The 20,565-nt window shown below is 53.2% G+C and overlaps 1 protein-coding gene and 1 long non-coding RNA gene across 8 annotated transcripts in view, besides 6 other annotated features; one reads left to right on the top strand and one right to left on the bottom strand.

Annotated features, from left to right (window-relative positions):
• CD82 (CD82 molecule) overlaps positions 1 to 20,565 on the bottom strand; it is a 55,950-nt gene that overhangs the window by 12,502 nt on the left and 22,883 nt on the right. For 5 of the 7 annotated variants that reach the window (XM_047426900.1, XM_047426901.1, XM_047426903.1 and 2 more), the window contains 5 exons: positions 20,301 to 20,382; positions 13,132 to 13,214; positions 7,627 to 7,699; positions 2,675 to 2,799; positions 2,428 to 2,502 (listed from right to left, as the gene is read on the bottom strand). In XM_047426900.1, the coding sequence (XP_047282856.1) occupies positions 2,428 to 2,502; positions 2,675 to 2,799; positions 7,627 to 7,699; positions 13,132 to 13,214; positions 20,301 to 20,382 (438 nt within the window). Of the gene's footprint in view, positions 1 to 2,427; positions 2,503 to 2,674; positions 2,800 to 3,355; positions 3,440 to 7,626; positions 7,700 to 13,131; positions 13,215 to 20,300; positions 20,383 to 20,565 lie in introns of those variants that run through there. The other 2 variants (NM_001024844.2, XM_011520067.3) reach the window with 2 other exon arrangements.
• Positions 2,520 to 3,349, top strand: CD82-AS1 (CD82 antisense RNA 1). The gene is made up of 2 exons (NR_182290.1): positions 2,520 to 2,839; positions 3,127 to 3,349. It is a non-coding gene; the product is annotated as a CD82 antisense RNA 1 (long non-coding RNA).
• Positions 5,845 to 6,448: an enhancer, noted in NCBI's record as "H3K4me1 hESC enhancer chr11:44622959-44623562 (GRCh37/hg19 assembly coordinates)". NCBI's record gives its function as "activates a minimal SCP1, AML or CMV promoter by ChIP-STARR-seq in naive H9 embryonic stem cells {active_cell/tissue: H9 hESC(naive)}" and the evidence as "EXISTENCE:reporter gene assay evidence [ECO:0000049][PMID:30033119]".
• Positions 8,486 to 8,986: an enhancer, noted in NCBI's record as "H3K4me1 hESC enhancer chr11:44620421-44620921 (GRCh37/hg19 assembly coordinates)". NCBI's record gives its function as "activates a minimal SCP1, AML or CMV promoter by ChIP-STARR-seq in naive H9 embryonic stem cells {active_cell/tissue: H9 hESC(naive)}" and the evidence as "EXISTENCE:reporter gene assay evidence [ECO:0000049][PMID:30033119]".
• Positions 8,987 to 9,487: an enhancer, noted in NCBI's record as "H3K4me1 hESC enhancer chr11:44619920-44620420 (GRCh37/hg19 assembly coordinates)". NCBI's record gives its function as "activates a minimal SCP1, AML or CMV promoter by ChIP-STARR-seq in primed H9 embryonic stem cells {active_cell/tissue: H9 hESC(primed)}" and the evidence as "EXISTENCE:reporter gene assay evidence [ECO:0000049][PMID:30033119]".
• Positions 10,476 to 11,055: an enhancer, noted in NCBI's record as "H3K4me1 hESC enhancer chr11:44618352-44618931 (GRCh37/hg19 assembly coordinates)". NCBI's record gives its function as "activates a minimal SCP1, AML or CMV promoter by ChIP-STARR-seq in naive H9 embryonic stem cells {active_cell/tissue: H9 hESC(naive)}" and the evidence as "EXISTENCE:reporter gene assay evidence [ECO:0000049][PMID:30033119]".
• Positions 10,813 to 11,052: an enhancer, noted in NCBI's record as "active region_4658". NCBI's record gives its function as "activates an Ori minimal core promoter by ATAC-STARR-seq in GM12878 lymphoblastoid cells {active_cell/tissue: GM12878}" and the evidence as "EXISTENCE:reporter gene assay evidence [ECO:0000049][PMID:35858748]".
• Positions 11,056 to 11,634: an enhancer, noted in NCBI's record as "H3K4me1 hESC enhancer chr11:44617773-44618351 (GRCh37/hg19 assembly coordinates)". NCBI's record gives its function as "activates a minimal SCP1, AML or CMV promoter by ChIP-STARR-seq in naive H9 embryonic stem cells {active_cell/tissue: H9 hESC(naive)}" and the evidence as "EXISTENCE:reporter gene assay evidence [ECO:0000049][PMID:30033119]".

Raw genomic sequence — 20,565 nt, 5'->3', positions numbered from 1 at the left:
CCTCATTATCAGCCAAGCAGAGTTACCCAGCCGGCGGGAGGGCAGCGTGGTGGATAGGGAGGCATGGGCCTTGGACTCCAAGGCATCAGGATGGAAATCCCCACTCTGATGCATCCAAGCTGTGTGTGTCAGTGGCTGAAAGTCACTTTGCTTTCCTGGGCCTCAGTTTCTTCAAATGGAAAATGTTTGTAAATTTGAACATGTATTGCAGCTCACTTTTCTAGCTCAGCTCCTGGCATGTGGTTGGTGCCAACCTGGTGGGCCATATTTATTACTGTGAGATGGTGAATCACATAGGGTGGACTGCCCAAGATCCCTGCAGAGGCGACCAGCTTCTGAGTCATAGAAACCGGCTCACTGGGGCCTGGTTCTAATCCACCCTGATTATATCACTAACTAGGTCCTAAAGAAGCTCAGTGCCATAGGACAGAAATGAAGACCTGACCCCATGACCATTTTTCTGGGAAAGGAATTTCCCTCCCTTAACTGCTGGCTTCCTGTCTCACAGCCAAACAAGCTGCTTTTCATCTACAAAATCCACTATTTTCCACTTTTGCCTTGACTGCCAGGAAGCTCAGTGCCCAAGTTAGCCCTTAGCTACCAAGAGTATCTTGTCTTGTGAAGTTCCATTAAGTTCTAAGTTCTATTAAATGTTATTTGTTGATGTTGATGTTGGTATAGTGTTTTCTCAGTTTCCTTCCAAGAGGGATCTCAGGCAACTTGACCTTCAAGTGGTGAAGGGCAGGAGCCTATCTGGCTGCCGGCTCTGCCACCCTCCCTGGTGGACAAGAACTGGTGGCACTGGAAGCAGGGACCCTAAGGGTCTGCTAGGCCACAGGCCATGTGCAGCAGGGTCTGGGGACGGGTGAACTCAGGACTCGGAGTCAGGGAGCCTAGGCTGTCCTTACTCCTTCATCTGCAGGACGGGGATTCTCCCACGACCTTGAGAGGGCCTAGTGAGGATCTGCGAGAGGAGGAGTGTAACGTGGTCAACACTGTACTTGGTATATGCTGTGCATGGACTCAACTGGAGGGATGGTGGGTGTTAGAGTCACTGTTATCTATGTTGTTATTGCTCTTCATCTCAGAGCATCTGCTTCTCCATCTGTCAACATAAAACCCTGCAGAGCCATTGTGAGGACAAGACGCTGTATGGAAAGTTTCTAGAAGATCCCACGTGCACACAGTAGGTGCTTCTTACGTGATAACTGTGACTCACAATTAACTGGCTCACCCAACAGCCATTCTTGGCTCCTTTCTCTCTTGTGCCTCTGTCTTTAGAGTCTGAAAGTTGGATACTCACATTCTCAGCCTCTTTTGCAACCAGGGGTGGCTTTGTAACCCAGTCTGGGGAAGTCTGTTGGAGGACTTTTTTTTTTTTTTTTTTTTGAGACAGGGTCTCACTCTGTTGCCCCAAGCTCTGTTTCATGGCTCCCTGTAGCCTCAACCTCCTGGCCTCAAGGATCCTCCTGCCTCAGCCTCCTGAGTAGCTGGGACCACAGGTGAACACCACCATGGCTAGCATTTTTAAAAATTTGTTTGTAGAAATGGGGTCTCACCATGTTGCCCAGGCTAGTCTCAGAGCAATCCTCCCACCTCTGCCTCCCTAAGTATTGGGATTACAGTCATGAGCCACTGCGCCTTTTCTGATAAAAGGGATGGCCATGTCTGGCACTGCCCACTTCCCCATCTTCAGGCCACAGCGGCACAGACATCGTGCCTGGTGCTGTGGCAGCCATCTTGGAACCACGAGGTAAGTGTCATAATGCAGGAAAGCCATCCCAGCGAGGATGCTCAACAGCCAGAACCAGGGCCTCTGAGCTTCCAAACCAGACTTCCGGTCAAGTCAACCACAGATGTCCTTCAACTTTAAGCCGCTGTAAGTCTGATTTTCTGTTTCTGAAAGCTGAACATCTCCCCTCGGACACAAGACTGATGTTTTTATTAACGGTCTCCTTCTAAACCTCATTTGTGGGTGAGTGGCATGGATTTAATAGTTGCTAAAGTATCTTAATAATAACAAGAATAACATTTATTGAGTACTTATGGTGCCATGCGCTATGTGTTTCACTCAGATAATCTCGAATAATCTTTGCAACCACTCTGAGAGTTCAGTTTTCTTATTGTTTCCATTTTACAGATGGTGGAACAGGCACATAGAGGCAAGCAGCTTGCCCAAGGCCACACAGCTAGAAAGCAGGGGGGTCAGGCTAAGATCCAGGCCCAGCGGGGACTGCCCACACCTGCCGCCTTCTCTTCTAACGCTCCCCCATTTGATCACAAGGAATAGTGTCCAGGAGGCCGTCCCTGACACCTACTGGATCTGTCTGTGACAACTGGGGGGGTTCCTTGTCCATCCCCCACACTCAGTCAATCACCCCCATGGTTGGTCCAGCCCAGTGAAGAGGGAGGGAGAGAGGGGCTTACCTTGCCCATGTTGAAGTAGAAGAGGGCCCCGGCCGTCACCTGGGCAATGAGGATCAGGAGCAGGAAAGCAAAGTACTGGGGACACAGAGCAGGCACAAAGTCAGCTGAGGGTCCCCGACCAGGTGCACCCAGCCTGCGTGCCCCGAGAGATGCTCTCCACCCGATGTTACGGCCAGCGCCGCGGTCAGGCTGCACTCGGCTGGATGAGAGGAAATGGGCAGGCAGCTGCGGAGGGATCCGTACTCACCAGCCCCAGCAGGCAGCGGACCTCGTTGACGGCGCCGATGCAGCCCAGGAAGCCCATGAGCATAGTGACTGCCCCCACGCCGATGAAGACATAGGCCCCCATCCTAAGCGAGCTGGAGGAGGTTTCTAGGGGGAAGAAGAAGTACAAAATCAGTGGGCACAGCAGGTATAAACACCTGGCCTAACCGTCCAGGTCTTCTTCCGGATCCCCTCTTTGGAGCCAGGGTGTTGGGGTCAGCTGCATTCCCCTGCTGGCTTCTCACTGCCCAACAGGGAACCAGGTCACCCCCATCCCCACTTGTGTCCCTCCCCCAGTAAAATTGCAATCCACACCCTCATCCAGCCTAAGCCCCTTCCCGGCTTTATTTTTTACTTCGTAAGGCTTCTCAGGATTGAATAGACTACATTTCACTGATTCTTCTTGCTCATTGTCTGCTCTCCCCCTCCACCAAGGACCTGAGGTGCATGAGGGCAGAAGCTTCACTTTATTCCTGGGGAACCCCCAGCTCGAACAGCGCCTCTCGCAGTGAGGTGCTGTGCACAGTGAATATCTGCGGAATTGACAGACAAGAGGCTGGCTGGTTCTCCAGGGGCCACTGACATTAAGATTCCAAGCTGATTTTTAACCCGCCTTCCTTCTTGTCCATATAATAACAAACACCAGCCTTTCTTGCCCACTCACTGTGCCTCATGGGCTTTCCACACGCCGTCTCCAACTCTGACATCACCCTGCCTGGCAGGCACTAGCATGGCCATTTCACAGAAGAAAAAAATGAGGCTCAGAAAGGCGAACAGGCAAGGGCCTGAGCTGGAATTTGAAAATATGCAAATCTCCAGTGCCACACTCTTTCCACTGATGCACGGGGCACATGTATTGCTACAGGTGTGCTGCATGTTCATTCGGCCAAGAAATGTTTACTGGGTGCCCACTTCATGCCAGGCACTGTGCCAGTTGCTGGGGATGCAGAAGAGTGACTAACAAGGTCTGACATTTGGGGGTGGGGAGTGGAGACAAAAAGTACACAATACAGGTTTTCTGGTTGTGTTGGGCGCCATGAAGATACCAAAGCTGGCTAACTGCAGAGAACTGCTGGGCTGGGAGAGGGTCAGAATGGGTCGACGAAGGCCAGCCTGAGCCAGTGACATTTGAGCCAAGACATGAATGAAGAAGTCAGCCAAGCAAAGATCTGTAAGAAAAGCATTCCAGGCAGGGAACACAGCAGGTGCAAAGGCCTGAGGAAGGAGGAGCTTGGTTATTTGAAGATTGGAAAGAAGGTGAGAGAACGGACCAGTGAGAGCAAGAAAGAAGCCCGGGAGGAAATGATGCTTAGGAGGTACAGGAATGGGCCTGATGGCTAAGACCCTCTTTAGAGCTACCTGTGGACAGGCCCATTCCGGGAGGTAGAGGTCAGGAGTCCTGCAGGGGCACTTGGCCAACATTTCCTAAGACACCCAACCCATCACACAGGGTAAAGCTCATGTCATCTCTAACTCACCAGCATGGGTACACTGTACCCCCAGGGCATGGGACGCACCTGGAGGGCGAGGGTGCTGGCGTCTCCAGAAGGCTGGAGAGTAGTGTGGATCAGAGGAGCCTCTTAGGGATGCAGATGCTTGAGTCCGTTACAACCCGACCAAGACGCTCCCAGCAGGAGGCCAAGGACCTGCGTTTTTAATCTGCTCCCCTAAGCACTGAGGCACAGCCAGGACCAACCCCTTTACCATCAGCAGGGAGAATACAGGCCTGGGGCTGGCCACGACTCCCTGGGGATCCTGGAGAGGCCGAGGTCCCCACCTTGGTCCCCAAGGGGCGTTAGTGCCCTTACAGAATAACTATCAAACTGGAGGACGGGAGGGAGTCTGTGGGATTCAGCTCCGCTTCCTGATAACAGACAGAATGTTCTGGAGCTCAGGAAGAGCCCTGGCCAACCCTACTCTCAAGGCTTCCTCCACCCAGTTCCTCACAGGAGCCCCCCACCTTCCTCAGGGTGAGTGCGGGGATCTTCTGGCACTGAGCCCCAGCCATCAGCGTGGGCAGGGAGAGGCTGTCAATTCCACTTTTCCTAAACTTCCTGGGTTGAGGCTTCCAACAATTCCTCCCAGTGATTACTCCCAGAAAAAAGAAACTGACATTGCCCAGACAGCCGCCGTGTGCCAGCCCTGAACAAGGCCCTTTATCCAAAGCATCCTGCCTAATTTCAGCAACCACCCTCTGTGGCTGTACTCACATCCTGATTTGTCTGCAAGGACCCCGAGGCTCAGAAAGGCTAGCAGGCTGCAAGGTGCCTGGCAGGGAAGGATCAGGGCTGAGACCCCAACTCAGATCCTTCCCCTGGGAGACCAGACAAACTGCGAGGTCTCCGTATCTCAGAACATTTAATTGATGCCATTCCCTGTCTCCCCCCAGGATCCCAGGCCTACCCCATATCTGAGCAAGCTGACTTAGGAAGTAGGTGAGGGTATGCTCTGGGGTAGGCCATCCACAGGGCATGGAAAAAAAAATTTTTTTTTCACCTTTTAGTCTTTCTGGGCCTAGAAGGGACCAAAGGAAGCGGCCCAAACAGAAAGGGATGAGGGATAAGAAAAGTAGATTCTAATCCCAGCTCTGCTGCCAACACACTCTGACCCTGGGCAAGCCATTTACTATTTCTTTCTCTGTAAAATGGGTCTAAAGCCTGCTACTTGAAGATGGCAAAAGGATTAAATTGTATTATAAAATTTAGCTAACAATCACTTATGTAGGGTTTTTCACTGGGGGCTGTCCCAAACTCTTTTCAGATAAAAATGAGAGGCCCATTTAATTTCTCACAATAACCACAGTAAGTGCACTCTATTACGATCCTCATTTTATAGGTGAGGAGGCACAGAGAGGTGAAGCAATGTGCTGAGAGTCACACAGCTAGTGGACAGCACCGCCGTGAATCGAACCCCAGCAGTCAGGCTAGAGTCTGCTCTTCATTGCAAAGTGCTTCCTGTTACTAAGGTACTAACCAGTGGCATGTGGCTGCAGAGCCATGTGGTCCAGGGGTTCAAGGCACGGGCTCGGAAGCTAGGCTACCTCATCTGCAGCCAGCTCCCCTACCAGCTTGCTGTGTGCCCTTAAACAAGTTACTACACCTCTCTGTGCTTCAATTTCCTCCTCTGTAAAATGAGGATAGGAATGCCCAGCCCAGTGGACTCAGAGCAGGGATTCAACTCGGTAGGGAAAGAGCTGTCCCCAGTTCTGCCCCTCAGCTGCTCTGTGACTATTAGCAAGTCATTTTTCCCCACCCCCGGCCTCAGTTTACACAAGTGCCTAGTGACCAGGCAAGAGGATCAGTGTTTCTGAACCCTGGCTGCCTGGGGAATCCACCTGGGGAACTTTTTAGAAAACACCAGCACTCAGGCTCCCACCCACACCAACCGAGTCAGGTCCCTTGGGGTGGGTGGGGCTCGGGCCAAAGCATTTGTAAAATGCACCCCCTCCTGCAGATAGTAGACCTTTAAGGTCCGGCCAGCTTGAGATTCTCAGACCCGAACAGGGAGGAGGCCAGAGCCATGCAGGAAGCTCTCCCCACCCAGTGGGCTCACCCCCACTGCGCCAGTTGCAGGGCAGGGCGCAGAGGGCAGAAATGTGGGTGGGCAGGCTGGGCCTCTAGACTTTGCCCTGGGGTGCAGTGCCTGCTGGGTTGGGCCATGACTCAGGAAGTAGAGAGCTGGGCCTAATGGGGCCAAGGAGGGTGTGTCACAGGCCAGGAGAATGTGGGGGGCACGGGTAGCCCACCCACCCTAACCCCAGAATGGAGGGTGAAAGGGGATGAGACTGATAGCCCCGGGGTGCATCAGATGTGGCTAGAGTGTAGATCATCCTTGCTTTCCATCTCCTGGAGGGGAGGCCTAGCCCCTGGGGCCAGGGGGACAGATGTGGCCCCTCCATCATCACATCCTAGCTAGGTTCCGCTTTATGTAAATCAAGCAGCTGTCATGGGCCACATTCCAAACCAGCTGCCTTGGGCAGCTGCTGGGAGAAGTGAGCCAAGGCCAAACTCAGCGAGGGGAGTGGCACGGCTGTCCCCTGGGGGCTTCCGCTGTGCCTCCCTCTCCCACCACAGGGAGCCCCTGAGAAGTCAGCGTGGCAGGCCCTGACGGCTTCCTGGAGGAGGCCGAGCAGGCGCAGAAGGGCTCTTATCCCTGTAAAAATGCCTTAGGCCCCTTTCCTTCTGCCTCTGGTGAAAGAAGGGGTTTCCACACTGTGGCTCACCCTGCCATGTGCTGCATTTAGGACCAAAGCTCTTGGAGTTCGAGTCCCACACCTACCATTTAGAAGCTGTGTGAACTTCAGCAAGGGACTTAACCTCTCTGAGCCTCTGTTTCTTCATTGGTGAGGTGGGAATAGAACAGTATCTACCTCACAGGGCTGTGGTGGGATTAAGACAGTTTATCGGTGCAAACTGCCTGGCACATGAGGAGCCTGATAATTGGTGACTGTGCCTGGAACCTTCCTCATCTGTGCACACACCTGACCCACGTAGGTGCTGCCAGGCTTATAGCGAAGCACCACTCATAGCAGGTGCCTCATCAGCCCCTGACTATCTTTCCTACATCCCTGTGAAATGGGAGGGGCTGTTGCCTACATTCTGCTGGATGGGCAAGTGACGGGACAGAGAATGTAAGAGGCTTTCCTAAGGTCAGGGCCAAGGGAAGGGGCCAGGAAGGGAAAACAAGCCTCCCTCATCCCCAGTGTTCCCCCAGACAACAGCAGCTTTGTTCGGGGAAGAAGAGAAAATTCCTTTTGGAAACCCCTGCAGAGGGAGCCATGGGCAGTGGTGGGCAGCAGGACCTCGCCACATCCCTGAGGTCAGCGGGAAAAGCAACAGGCATTGAAGCCGAAGCACTTATGGGAGCAGCTGTATCTGCGCCCTGGCCCTCCCCTCTTCAGTGGGCCTGGGTCTGGGGAAGCTGAGGGGTCCTTACGCAGGACAGAGATGAAACTGCTCTTGTCGGCCAGGATCCACACCCCGAAGCCCAGGATCACTGCGCCCAGGATCTGGAAGGAGAAGGGAGCAGTTAATGGGGAGCCAAGAGCAGATAGCCCTCCCCCTGCCAGCTGTCCCTGGAACCCAAGTCAGGGTGGGCAGGGCAGGGGGCCACAGAGGGCACCACATCCACCCTTCTCCAGCCCAGAGATGTCCAGATGGCCTCCGGTCCCACATCGCAGCAAGCCAGACACCAGGACCCTGGATAGGGAATCCCTCCTGCCTCCCATCTTGCCCCCCTCCACCATGTGTGATTCAGCCAAGCCTCCTGGTGCAGCCTCCTGCCAGGGGCACCCTTCCTGCCACATCTCCTGGCTCTTTTCTCAGCTCATCCCCCCGACTCCACCCAGTTCAGGGCCTGGGAGCTTCCCAAACAAGAAAGGCTCTGAGGAGGACCCTCCGTGGACTTGAACATCAAAGCCCAACTCATCCCCAGGTCTGAACAACAGGGTCACCTGCCACAGGAGCCTTCTCTGACCCCCTCAGGCAGACTCGGGTGCCCCCATTCTGCAGCAACCACTGTCCCACCCTTCTTAACAGTCATTCCGACTGGGTCTAACTGCTGTGTTGGTTTCTCTGGCTAAACTGTGAGCTCCCTGAGGGCAGGGCTGGCTGGAGGCAGCTCTGCATCCCCAGCAGCTCTACAGCACTGGGTGCTAAGTGGCTGGGGGAATGAATGAGCTGATGAACCAAACTGCAAATGCAGGACTAGAAAGGGAAATGAAGGTCAGGCCCGGTGGTTCATGCCTGTAATCCCAACACTTTGTGAGGCCCAGGCAGGAGGATCACTTGAGCCCAGGAGTTTGAGACCAGCCTGGGCAACACAGTGAGACCTTGACTCTACAAAAAATTTCAAAAATTAGCCAATGTGGTGGTGCATGCCTGTAGTCCCAGCTACTGGGGAAGCTGAGAAGAGAGGATCACTTGGCCCCAGGGAAGTCAAGGCTGCAGTGAACTGTGTTCATGACATGACCTGGGTGACAGGGCAAGACCCCCTCACTCTGCCCCCCACAAAAAGGAAAAAATGAATGAGGTGTTACAAATAAGGATCCCAAGCCCAGGGATTCCCTGCCTCTCTCCCATCTACCAGGGCTGAGCTCATCTCCCCAGGTGGAGTCCCAGCCAAGATCCACCATCCCATAAAGCTGGCAAAGGCTGGGGAAGTGCCTGCCATCTGGGCAAAGATGCAGGTTCCCTTTGGAGGTGGGGGTGGCCCTGTGTCAACCCACAAGGCTGGCCATTAGTGGGGGCCTGGACTGGGCCCACCTGGTGGATGACCCGTCTTGAAACTCCCACCTGTATCACAGCCCTGGGTTCCCACCTCAGCCATCATCCCATAATCTCAGGTTGGAGGCCAGCAGCTGCCATAGAGCCCCGAGCCTGGGGCTGGCCTGGGCACAGGGTCTCCATCAGAATCATTCTATCATTATCAAAGACCAGAGCCAGGACCGGCCCAAGGCACGAGGCACCTGCCTCAGGTGTAACACATGAGGAGGCACCAAAAACTCAGGCGGGTAGATCACCTGAGGTCAGGAGTTTGAGACCAGCCTGGCCAACATGGCAAAACCCCGTCTGCACTAAAAATACAATTAGCTGGGCGTGTTGATGGGGTCCTGTAATCCCAGCTACTCAGGAGGCTGAGGCAGGAGAATCACTTGAACTCAGGAAGCGGCGGTGGCAGTGAGCCAAGGTCACGCCACTGCACTCCAGACTGGACAACAAGAGTGAGACTCCGTCTCAAAAAAAAAAAAAAAAAAAAAAAAAAAAATTAAGGCCAAAAATCCATGATAACTGAACTATTAAACTTTGAAATAAAATGTTGACAGTATCAGTATTATCAATGTTTCCTTTTGCCCCAGGGCCCAGGTGGCTCAGTAGGGGGTTGCCTCTCTCCCTTTACCCTTGTACTTGCTACCTTAAAGACCACTGTGACTGATGACTACAACCACAAAGGCACGGTGACCACCCCACGTCTGCCCCCCAGTGTCTCCCACCAGAATCATCACTGAGGTATTATCTGTCCTCTCCTCTCTCCCAGTGAGACGGGCCTTGTAATTGACCTCATTTTATACACACGGAATTTTATATGAGGCCTTGATTTTATCCATCAGGGACTGGAAGCCAGATGGTGGCAGGTGAGCTATAGGGATATTTTGGATCCATCCTGGGCCTTCACCCAGAAAGCCAGTCTCGGGACAGAAAAGCCCCTGAGACACTGGGGAGGAGAAGAGTCTGCTGGAAGGTGGGTCCACCTTAATTTGCACAGCTGGGGGAAATGGGGGCTTTCCAGGACCTGGGAGTTTGGTTCCCCAAGACCTGCAACCCTACCCAGCCCACAACCACCCCACAGCACAGCGAGGCAGGGGCCAGTGCTCAGGCCCACGTCTGCTCCCTCTGCATCTCAGACCCATGTGGGCAGAGCCCCTGCCCCATTCCCTCCCACATTCACAGGGTGGGACAGGAGGGAGGACAGCCCCTACCAAAAGGGAATGGGAGGCAGGACAGAAAATCCCCTCTTGGCACACATAATCCCAAGTAGATCAAAACCCCACACTACTCAGCTGGCTCCTCAGCTTGCCAAGAGGAACCCAGAGAGCAAAGTCCCCGGGGCTACCCATTCAGTCCCTCTGTAGGTCTGATGACCCCAGCCTGATGGTCAGATGTGGCTGGATTAGCCACGGGGCTGTGGCAGAGCCAGAAAGGAGGCTGGGCAGCCTACCAGAATGGGCAAGGCACCATGGCACCCCCTTTTTCTCTGTGAACCAAGACTGGAGCTGTGGGGCAGGCCCCATGTTAATCACTCCCCCAGCCCTTCCCCAATCCCCAGATGGGACCCATCAGGAGCCAGGACCCTCAGAGCAGTGAGCGTCCTTCCCCAGCATAGCCACAGCACCAGTGCCTCTGCATTCCTTTGGACCTGAGAAAAGTGGCAATGCGCTGGGGAGTCTGGAGTCCAGAGGGAGTACAGGCAAAGACATACAGGTGCACATGCACGCAGGCGCGAGCACACATAGCAGCCACGGGGATTTTTCCAAACCACAAATCCAACCACGAAACCCCTCCCAATGTGCATAAAACAAAGAGGCAGGCTGGCCGGGTCTATGCCTGGGGAGGTGCACTCTGCCTCCACCGGCTGCCCCTGCTGCCAGGATCCCCCTCTCCAAAGCCACACCCAGAACCCCAGGAAGCCTTTGCTGACCTCCATGACCAGGCCAAGAGCCTCATCTGCTTTCCGAAGAGCCTATCTGTTCCTAGTACCCCCAACAACTGCAATTTTTCATGCATTTGAGTAGTTATTTGATGGAAGCCCACTGCTCCCTAGGACACAAGCTCCGGAAGTATAGCAATCAGGGCTCTTCCGCCCTGAACATCTGAAGATGCTGAGGTGTCAGATACACATTTGCTGAGGAGTAAACAAGCCCGTTCTGCCTCCTCCAGCCCTCCTCTTTCACTCTCACCCTCCTGTCATACAAGCTGCCCCTCCCCCCTCCACCATCCTGATGGGTCATCCTAGGCCCCAGTACACAGACAGTTAACACCTGACTCCTGCCAGCCCCTGGAGGAGCCAAAAGGAGGCCAAGCCCTGGCCAGAGAGCAGCTTTTCCAGTCCCTGGTTCCACAGGGCAACTTGCGAGCAGGACAGAAAGGGCCACCCTGGCTGAAACCACCAACCCCACTCCCTTTCTCTATGAGGGTCTCCCCAACCCCCACTGCATGAAGGAAAGTTTCTTTATCACTGAAACCCAAGCTCCGTGATCTCCTAGGCCAGAGCCCAGGCTCCTCTCTCTAGTCCCTAAAGCCCCCAGGGATAGAGCTACAGTGCCCACGCACCCCTTCCCCCGAGTCCTGGCCCATTGGCCTTTATGCTGGGTCTCCGCCCAGACACCAAGTGCTTGCCAGGAAAAGCTTGGCTTTGCCTGCACAGGCAGCTGCTTCCCAAAGTCCTAGGGCAGCCAGGAGAGACCTGACCGCCAAGCTGGGGAAGCCCAAGCCCGGCCTGGGGTGGGTTCCAGGCCCGGCTGCCATGAGCAGAGGGCCAGAGCCACAGTGGGGCCTCACAGGGTCCTCCAGGAGGGAGCTAGGGCCGGGGCCAGGGTGGAAAAAAAGCAAGGCAGGCAGCGCCAGGGCTTCCTGTGTGTGTGCATGCGTGTATGAACACTTGTGTGCGGGTGCCAGGAACACATTGTACATGTCTGTGCATTGGGTTAAAGCTGTGAAGGGGGAATTTTTAAAATTCTTTTTTTTTTTTTTTTTTTTTTTGTAGAGAAACAGGGTCTTGCTATGTTGCCCAAGCTGGTCTAGAACTCCTGGACTCAAACAATCCTCCTGCCTTGGCCTCCCAAAGCACTGGGATTACAGGCAAGACCTACCATGTCTGGCCAGAAGGGGAATTTAGAATGATTCTTGTTTATTTCCCAAACTTCCCATAAACTATGTAACTTGTAATGTAAACCCCCTGTTCCCCAAACAAGTAATTAATATCTACCGTAGAAAATTGGGAAAATACAGAGATGCATAAAGAATAAAATCAAAATTCCCAAGAATCCCAACATTAACATTGAGGTATTTTCTTCTCCTCTCAAAAATACTCACTTTTTAATGAATACGTACATTTAAAACTTTGGATCATAAGAAACATCCTACTGTACAACCTGATTTTTTTTTAACACTATAGGGTTAAACCGTCAACACAGGGAAGCCAGCGCTCCCAACACTACTCTGAGGCTATGAAGTCCTCTCCAGGGCACTGCCCCCCAACAACACACTCTCACTCACACACACACCCCACCATCCCAGCAACTCCAAGGCAAGAGGCAGTCCATGCCAGGCCAGAGAGGAAAACCGAGGCCCCAGGAAAACCAGCAGTCAATGTCCACAGAGCTGACATCCGGATGGCCCATCTGCTGGGGTGGGTCTGGGGAAGGAGGTATGTGCCCTTCACTGGCCCCACGCCTGGCGCCCTCTTGCTCTCCCTATGAGAGCTCAGGGAGATACCTTCCCACGACAGGGACGGGGGTGTGATAGGGGCAACTGGGGCCTGGAACTGTCACAGGTCAATTCTTCACATGGGCAGGGTGGGGGCCAGGACAGGACTAGAGAGATGCTAAGAGGCTTCTTCTAGCAGCTCCTGCTGTTGAGTTAGGGGGATGCCCAGGGGCTCTCCTCTCCTTCCCCATACCCACCGCCAGCCCAGGCTTTGGGTGATCTAGGAGAGGGGAAGGCCGGGTCAGGAATCCAGTGCTTGGTCAAAGGACCAGCTGGGAATGGCAGGGAATCTCCTCACCACCCCAACTAGGTTCCGTTGGAGATAGTTCGTCCTCAGTCCCTACCCACCAAATCCCCCCAATCCCCGGCCCGGTCGGCTCTGGAAAGGCTCAGGCTGGGATGCCCCTGGAAGGAGAATCTTTTCGGAGGTGGTCAGGACGGCATGGGACATACTTACAAAGAAGATCAAGTTGAAGAGGAAGAGAAAGTATTTGGTGACTTTGATACAGGCTGAGCCCATCCCGCCAGTCCTGGAGCTTCCTGGAAGAGAGAAGGCAGGCAGGCCAGTGAGGGGATCAGCTCAGTCTGCCCTTGCAGCAACCCCAGGAGGTGGGTACTAACCCTGTCCCTGCCTTAGAGGATGCAGAGGCCCAGAGAGGTTAGACAACTAGCCCAAAGCCACACAGCTAGGAAATGAGGTCCCACGAGCAGTCTTGTGTGCCAGGCACTTGATGCTTGGCAGTTAGGATCCGGATCAGCCACTGCACTGGGGCTGGGGCTGGGGCTGGGGCTGGTGGGAGCAAAATGACAGAGGGAGACCCTCACCCCTCACCTCCATGACCCAGGCTCTGGAACTTGCACAGATGGACTCTGTTTGAAGTCAGGGGGCCGGGAAGTTAGTGATCCATTGACAGAGACCCAGAGGTGAGACCTGTGCTTGTTCCACAGACTCCCTCTGGGACTAGGGGCTGGGAGTTGTGGGGTCTGCCAAGGCGAGAAGGGGAATTTTGGCTTCTCAGAAAATAGGCTGAGCGTCCCAGCTTCTTATTACAAAGGGAATAAACATGCATTGTAGAACACCCAACAAATACAGAAAAACAGAAATCAAGCAAAATGTATCTCACTCCAGAGATTAAAAACTGTCATCGTTTTAGTAGCTATTATTCGTGTGTGTGTGTGTGTGTGTGTATAACAAATGGTTCTAATCAAAATTGGGCTCATTCTGTATAGTGTTTTCTAGCCTGTTTTTTTCATTCTACAATCTTCACTCTCTATATGTTGATAAAATGCTCTTCATAGTTTCACATGTTGCATAGGATTCCATCCTATTAGTACTTATTAACATTTGGGGGCTCACAGAGTCCCCCAAAAAATTCATGTGTAGTTAGCATTTTGTGATGCTAATAATTTCTGGGAGTTCATGGACCTCTGAAACCCATTCAGGAACCCCAGTGGCCCCAGGTTAAAGTCTCAGATGTGGCCATCCCATAAAAGCATTTAACTGATACTCTAAGATTGGACACACAGGTTGTTTCCAAGTTTTCACAGTCTCCCCGATGACACAAGTTGTGCTTCTGAAATGACACAAACCATGCTTGGGCATGCTGTGCCCCCTCCACTCCAAAAGACCCCAGGTGAGGGGAGGGCCCCGGGAGGAAGAGGGAAGCTGGAAGCTGACTGTTCTCACCCTGACTCAGAGGCCAGAAAATCCAGGAGTGCCAGCCGCCAGCCTTCAGACCCTTTGGGGCAAAGGGAGCCAGCACCGCCGGGCAGCTGGGGCCTGGACAGCTGGCCTGGGACAGCTGCATGGGCAGAGCTGGGCTGGGGGGGTGGAGGGGACGGCACCAGGCCCACTTGTGTTTCCCTGCCTTATGGAGGGGGAAGGGCAGGCCACAGAGCAAAGGGAAAGGAAAGCCGGAGGCCCGGGCTTCACTCCTTCTTCCTCCAGCACCACTTGAAAGTCTTCAATTTCCCCGGCTACACACAGGTTCCCTACTCTTTTCTGGACATGCTAACGATCAACAATCTTCCATCCTCCTTGTCAAGTGGGAGCTCAGCTTCCACTTCACACACCTCCGGTGATGGGGAAGGTGGCTAATGAGGAGGGTTCATGACCTCCCAAGGGGTCCAGTCCAGTTTTCTTTCCTCTAACAGCTTTGTTACAGGAAGTTTTCTTTAAGTGCCTTTTTAAAGGGCAGATTTGGGAGGTATAATATGAAGCAAAGCTGCCCAAGTTAGGAAAAAGCTGCCTGGGTGGTAGTGAGCTTCCCATCACAAGCGGCATGGAAGCAAAGTCTAAAAAAATACTCCTGGGGGATTTAAGTGCTATGTAGGGAGATTAGACTAAATGGCTCTTCCAGTCTAGGGGGCTCCAAGGCCTGGGTCTGAGAATTGCAGAGATGGCAGTGACTCGGGAGCCAGGGCAGTGCAACCTGGGCAACTCCCCAGACCTAGAGAGGAGAAAACATGACTTCCCCGTGCCCAGGAAGCCAGAGATCTTCAATGCCCAAACCCCGTCCTGGCCTAGGAAGGCCTCCTGGGAGTCTGCACTACATCAAGGATAGCTATTGTTTTTCCTCTCTCTCACCTCCCAGCACAGAGCCTGACATACCACAGGCACTTCACAGACTCCAGGAACTAAACAGCAAGAGAAGAGAGATTCTCTCCCAAAGCCAGGCGGCATCTGTTCTTCTTTCCTACCACGGATCTGCTGTGTTTCAGCCTGACCAGGTCTCCTCCCAGTAAACAATACGGGGCATGCCCCAAGAGACCAACCAGGTTCAGCGCCCAAGCAGCAGTAGCTAGGCCACCCCTTCACCAGAAGAACATCCACTAACTGCAGTCCGCCAACAAACTATGCGTCTTGGCAATGGGGCCATTGGCATCCTTGTGAAATTGCAGAAGTGTGGAAAGAGTTCTTTGGCAACCCTGAGTCAGATCCACGGTGTTGCAGTTTCAGAAAGTCCGGGAAAGGGGTTTCTACACTTTCCAGCTCACACATCCTCTGCTCAGCCTCACGGTGGGGCATTCAGCAAAGGGCAGCTTTTAGAAAAGAATAAGTATAGGCCGGGCACGGTATCTCATGCCTGTAATCCCAGCACTTTGGGAGGCCGAGACTGGCAGAAGACCTGAGGTCAGGAGTTCGAGACCAGCCTGGCCAACATGGTGAAACCCCATCTCTACTAAAAATACAAAATTAGCCAGGCGTGGGGGTGGGTGCCTGTAATCCCAGCTACTCAGGAGGCTGAGGCACAAGAATCGCTTGAACCCAGGAGGTGGAGGTTGCAGTGAGCTGAGATTGCGCCACTGCACTCCAGCCTGGGCAACAGAGACTTTGTCTCAAAAAAAATAAAAACAAAAATAAGAGTAAGTATGACGTCTGTAAGGAGAAGGAGTGGCCGCCAGGGAATAGCAACTACTACAAGTGGCCATGTTCAGACATCATCCCCCATCATCCTCACAACCAGCCCAGGAAGTGAGTATTCCTATCCCTGGCAGACCAGAGGCTCAGACAGGTTCAGTAACTTGCCCAAGTCACACAGGTCATAAGTGGCAGTGGTTTTCAGACCCCAAGATCTTTCTTCTGTGAAGTGGTCCCTCCTGGACAGTAGCCAGGATTATAAAGGGATCTTTGGGGACGGCTGGGTTTCCTTTGTCCAGTTAGGTGTGAGGACAAAATGACTGCTCAGAGGAGCTCTGCTCAGAGGGCAAGGAGGAGGCTGGGAAACCTTGTCACCAAGGCAGACGTGGCTGGGCTGGTATTCCCATGATATTCCAGACCCTGGGCAAGCTTGGCTGGTCCCTTGGTCACGCACACAGATTGTATCAGGCACTGGGCTAAGCTCTTCAGCCCTCTACATGCAAACAGAGGCACAGAGGGGAGAAGGAGCCTGCCCAAGGTCTCAAGTAGGAGGACTGGCAAGGACAGGGCCCAGGCTGCCTGGCCCCTTACACCACCCATGGGCTCCATCCCACACAGGAGGCAGCTGGGTGGGTCCAGAGGCTGAAATGAGAGCCAGGCAGCCCAGTCAAGTGGGACAGACCCAGAGGTATCTGGACATCACCCGAGGGAGGAGAAGGTGCTGATAACTGGAACCTGGGATGGGCAGCTCCCAGGCACACTGGCCAAGATCCAGAAGACAAAGTCTTCCTGCCCTGCAAGTGCAGATGCTTCTGCCTCAAACTGACAGGGAGCAGAGGGTGAAGAACATTCTCCACACTCAGCGGGAGATGGGCAATCCCACACAGGCAAGGAAGTCAGCTCAGCCTGAGGCGGGGACACACCCAGGTCACCCACGATGGGCTGTGGCATCAACTTCAAGGAATCCACAACCACCACCAAGCTCCAAGGAGCCCCCGAGGTTGAATTCAGAGTGCCAGGGGTTATGCCCGGCTCTGCCCTCCCATACTGAGAGCTGAGCCTCAGTCTGCCATCCATGAGACAGAAATAAGGGTTGGTGTGGAACCAGGGTTGGTAAACTGCAGCCTGCAGACCAAATCCAGCCCCCTGCCTGTTTTTTATACAGCTTCTGAGCTAAGAACAGATTTCATCTTTTTTTTTTTTTTTTTTTTGAGACAGAATCTCCCTCTGTTGCCCAGGCTGGAGGGCAGAGGCACAATCTTGGCTCACTGCAAGCTCCGCCTCCTGGGTTCACGCCATTCTCCTGCCTCAGCCTCCCAAGTAGCTGGGACTACAGGCGCCCGCCACCATGCCTGAATAATTTTGTTTTTGTATTTTTAGTAGAGACGGGTTTCACTGTGTTAGCCAGGATGGTCTCGATCTCCTGACCTCGTGATCCACCTGCCTCGGCCTCCTAAAGTGCTGGGATTACAGACGTGAGCCACTGTGCCCGGCCCAGATTTCATATTTTTAAATAGTTAAAAGAAAAATAAAAAGATTCTTTAATGCATGAAAATTACATGGAATCTAAATTTCTGCACACAGCCATGCCTACTGGTCTATCTGGCCCTTTACAGAAAAAGCCTGCTGGCCCCTGGTGTAGAGGATCAAATGGCGCACCCACAAGTGTCTGTAAGAGGCAGCAAGGGTCGCCAGGCGCGGTGGCTCACACCTGTAATCCCAGCACTTTGGGAGGCTGAGGCAGGCAGATCACGAGGTGAGGAGATCGAGACCATCCTGACTAATACGGTGAAACCCTGTCTCTACTAAAAATACAAAAAATTAGCCAGGCGTGGTGGCGGGCGCCTGTAGTCCCAGCTACTTGGGAGGCTGAGGCAGGAGAATGGTGTAAACCCAGGAGGTGGAACTTGCAGTGAGCCGAGATCGCGCCACTGCACTCCAGCCTGGGCGACAGAGCGAGACCCCGTCTCAAAAAAAACAAAACGAAGAGGCAGCAAGGGTCACGACTACCCTTAGCACGGGAACTTTGGAGAAAGAAAACAGCCAGCTGGGTGGCAGGAATTGATTGTGACTTAGAGAGAGAAGACACAGGATCCCTGAACAAGGGTTCAAATCCTGGCTTTGCCAATGTGTGGCCACAGAGGAGGGACTTCCTGGGCCTCATTCATCTCCTTGGGGAGTGGAACTCCCAACTGGACTCCCGTCCTAAAGAGGGAGTGAGGTCAGCGCCTGGTACAGTCAGGACTCAATGACCCGGAGCTGGGGCTGGTGTCTGTATCATCATCATCAGTTGGCTCAGTGCTTGCAGAAGCAGCAAGGGATGAGGATTTAATTTACAGATGATCTTAAGCCAAAAGAATGTCCTCCAATGTTATGCTTTCTTGTGTATACTTTTGGTAAACATTGGAGAGTCTGCCCAAGCTTTCCTGTGTTAAAAACACTGACAATTCAAGGGAATGAGATGCAAGCACATCTTAATGGGAAACTTCCAGAACAGTCACAGAGAGCTGTGAGCAGCAGGATGGAGGTACTGATCTTTGTTATGGTGGTGGTGGTTGTTTTGAGGCACTCTTGCTCTTGCTCTGTCACCCAGGCTGGAGTGCAGTGGCACAATCTTGGCTCATGGCAACCTCCGTCTCCTAGGGTCAAGTGATTCTCCTGCTTCAGCCTCCAGAGTAGCTGGGATTACAGGCATGTGCCATCATGCCCGGCTAACTTTTGTGTATTAATAGAGACAGGGTTTTGCCGTGTTGGCCAGGCTGGTCTTGAACTCTTAACCTCAGGTGATACACCTGCCTAGGCCTCCCAAAGTGCTGGGATTATAGGCGTGAGCCACCGTTCCTGGTGAGGTGCTGATCTTATGTTATACTTGACACCAGGTAAATTGACCATTTCTGAGCAACTACAATTTTAATTGACGAAATATATCATTTTATGCCAAATCAGTTTGTATAATAAAATTATTATATTAATATTTTGCCAACTTCTACTTATCATTTAACACTCACCTCCAAAATCACCACCTCCAGGAAACTTCCTACTCCAGCCAGCTTTTTCATCACTACCACTGCCACCCTCTGACCCCCAAGACACATGTTGGTTAGGGGCACTCCCTCTCTCCTTCCTTCCAGTGGCACTGGAGACTAGAGCAGCTCCCTGAACAGGCTCTGGCATCAGGCTGCCTTGGATTTGAATGCAGTTCTAATGCCTCCTAGCTGTGTGACCTTGGACAAGTGACTTAACCTCTCTGAGCCTCACTTTACTCATTGGTGAAATGACAAAGATAAAACTTATTTTGCAGGCTGGGTACGGTGGCTCAAGCCTGTAACCCCAGCACTTTGGGAGGTCGAGGCGGGCGGATCACGAGGTCAGGAGTTCGAGACCAGCCTGGCCAACATGGTGAAACCCCATCTCTATTAAAAATACAAAACTTAGCTGGGCATGGTGGCGGGTGCCTGCAGTCCCGGCTACTTGGGAGGCTGAGGAAGAGGAATTGCTTGAACCCAGGAGGTGGAGGTGGCAGTGAGCCAAGATCGCACCTCTGCACTCCAGCCTGGGTGACAGAGTGAGACTCCACCTAAAAAAAACAAAAAACAAAAAACAAAAAAAAAACCCCAAAATCCTACTTTGCAGATTTGTCCAGACATTAAATTAGGGCAAAATGCCTGCCACATGGTCTGCTGTGGATAGACGGCAGTTCCTATAACGCATGCTGTGCAGTCACTTTCTACTTACCTGTCCCTTTCCCCTGAGGACTGTGATACCTTGACGGGAAGACTGTTATTTACGAGAACAAGGCAGACTCCCAACAAATATTGCTGCATGAAAGACTGGGTGGATGCAGGGATGGAGGGGTAGGTAGGTGGATGGATGGATGGACAGACAGATGGAGGGACTGCCACAAAGAACACCAGGGCTTTCAAGTTCTCGGCCACCTGAAGGCAGTCTGAGTTCCACTGCCCCTGAGTCCGAAGAGACGGTTCTCAGGCCTCTTCTGTCCTTGCCCGCAGGGCAGGTTGGGGGTGTGTCAGGTGCTCAACCCTGGGCCAGCTCTGAATGCCAGGACCTGCTGCCGAGCCTCCCCAGGGACCAGCACTCCAGGACTCTAAATGCTGTAGGAGCCAGAGAAGGGGAAGAAGTGGTCCCTCCACCCACCTGGTGGCTCAGACTGAACACCTGAGGGCCATGCTCGGTCTCCACCTTCCTCGCCTCACAGCCCAAGTGTGTCCCCTCCAACCCACCACTCCTCTCAGCCCAGGACTTACCTTCCACGAAACCAGTGCAGCTGGTCACAGGGCCCACTTCTGCCTGTGCCCACGTGTCGTCCACACAGCAGCAGGGAGGACTCTGAAAAACACGACCCAGATCTCGTCACTCCTGTCTGTGACTCTCCAAAGGCAATGTGGCTGAAGACATACTCACTTTAAATCCAGGCTCCCCGTGTGGCCGGCGGGGCCCCGCCAGGGTTGCCATTCCTCTGTCCTCTTCCCCCCACAGGCTCATGTAGCCTCTTTCCTGTTGTCCTGGTAT

Source organism: Homo sapiens, chromosome 11 (genome assembly GCF_000001405.40).
Source record: "Homo sapiens chromosome 11, GRCh38.p14 Primary Assembly".
NCBI lineage: Eukaryota > Metazoa > Chordata > Mammalia > Primates > Hominidae > Homo > Homo sapiens.
This window is presented reverse-complemented; position numbering and strand designations above follow the sequence as displayed.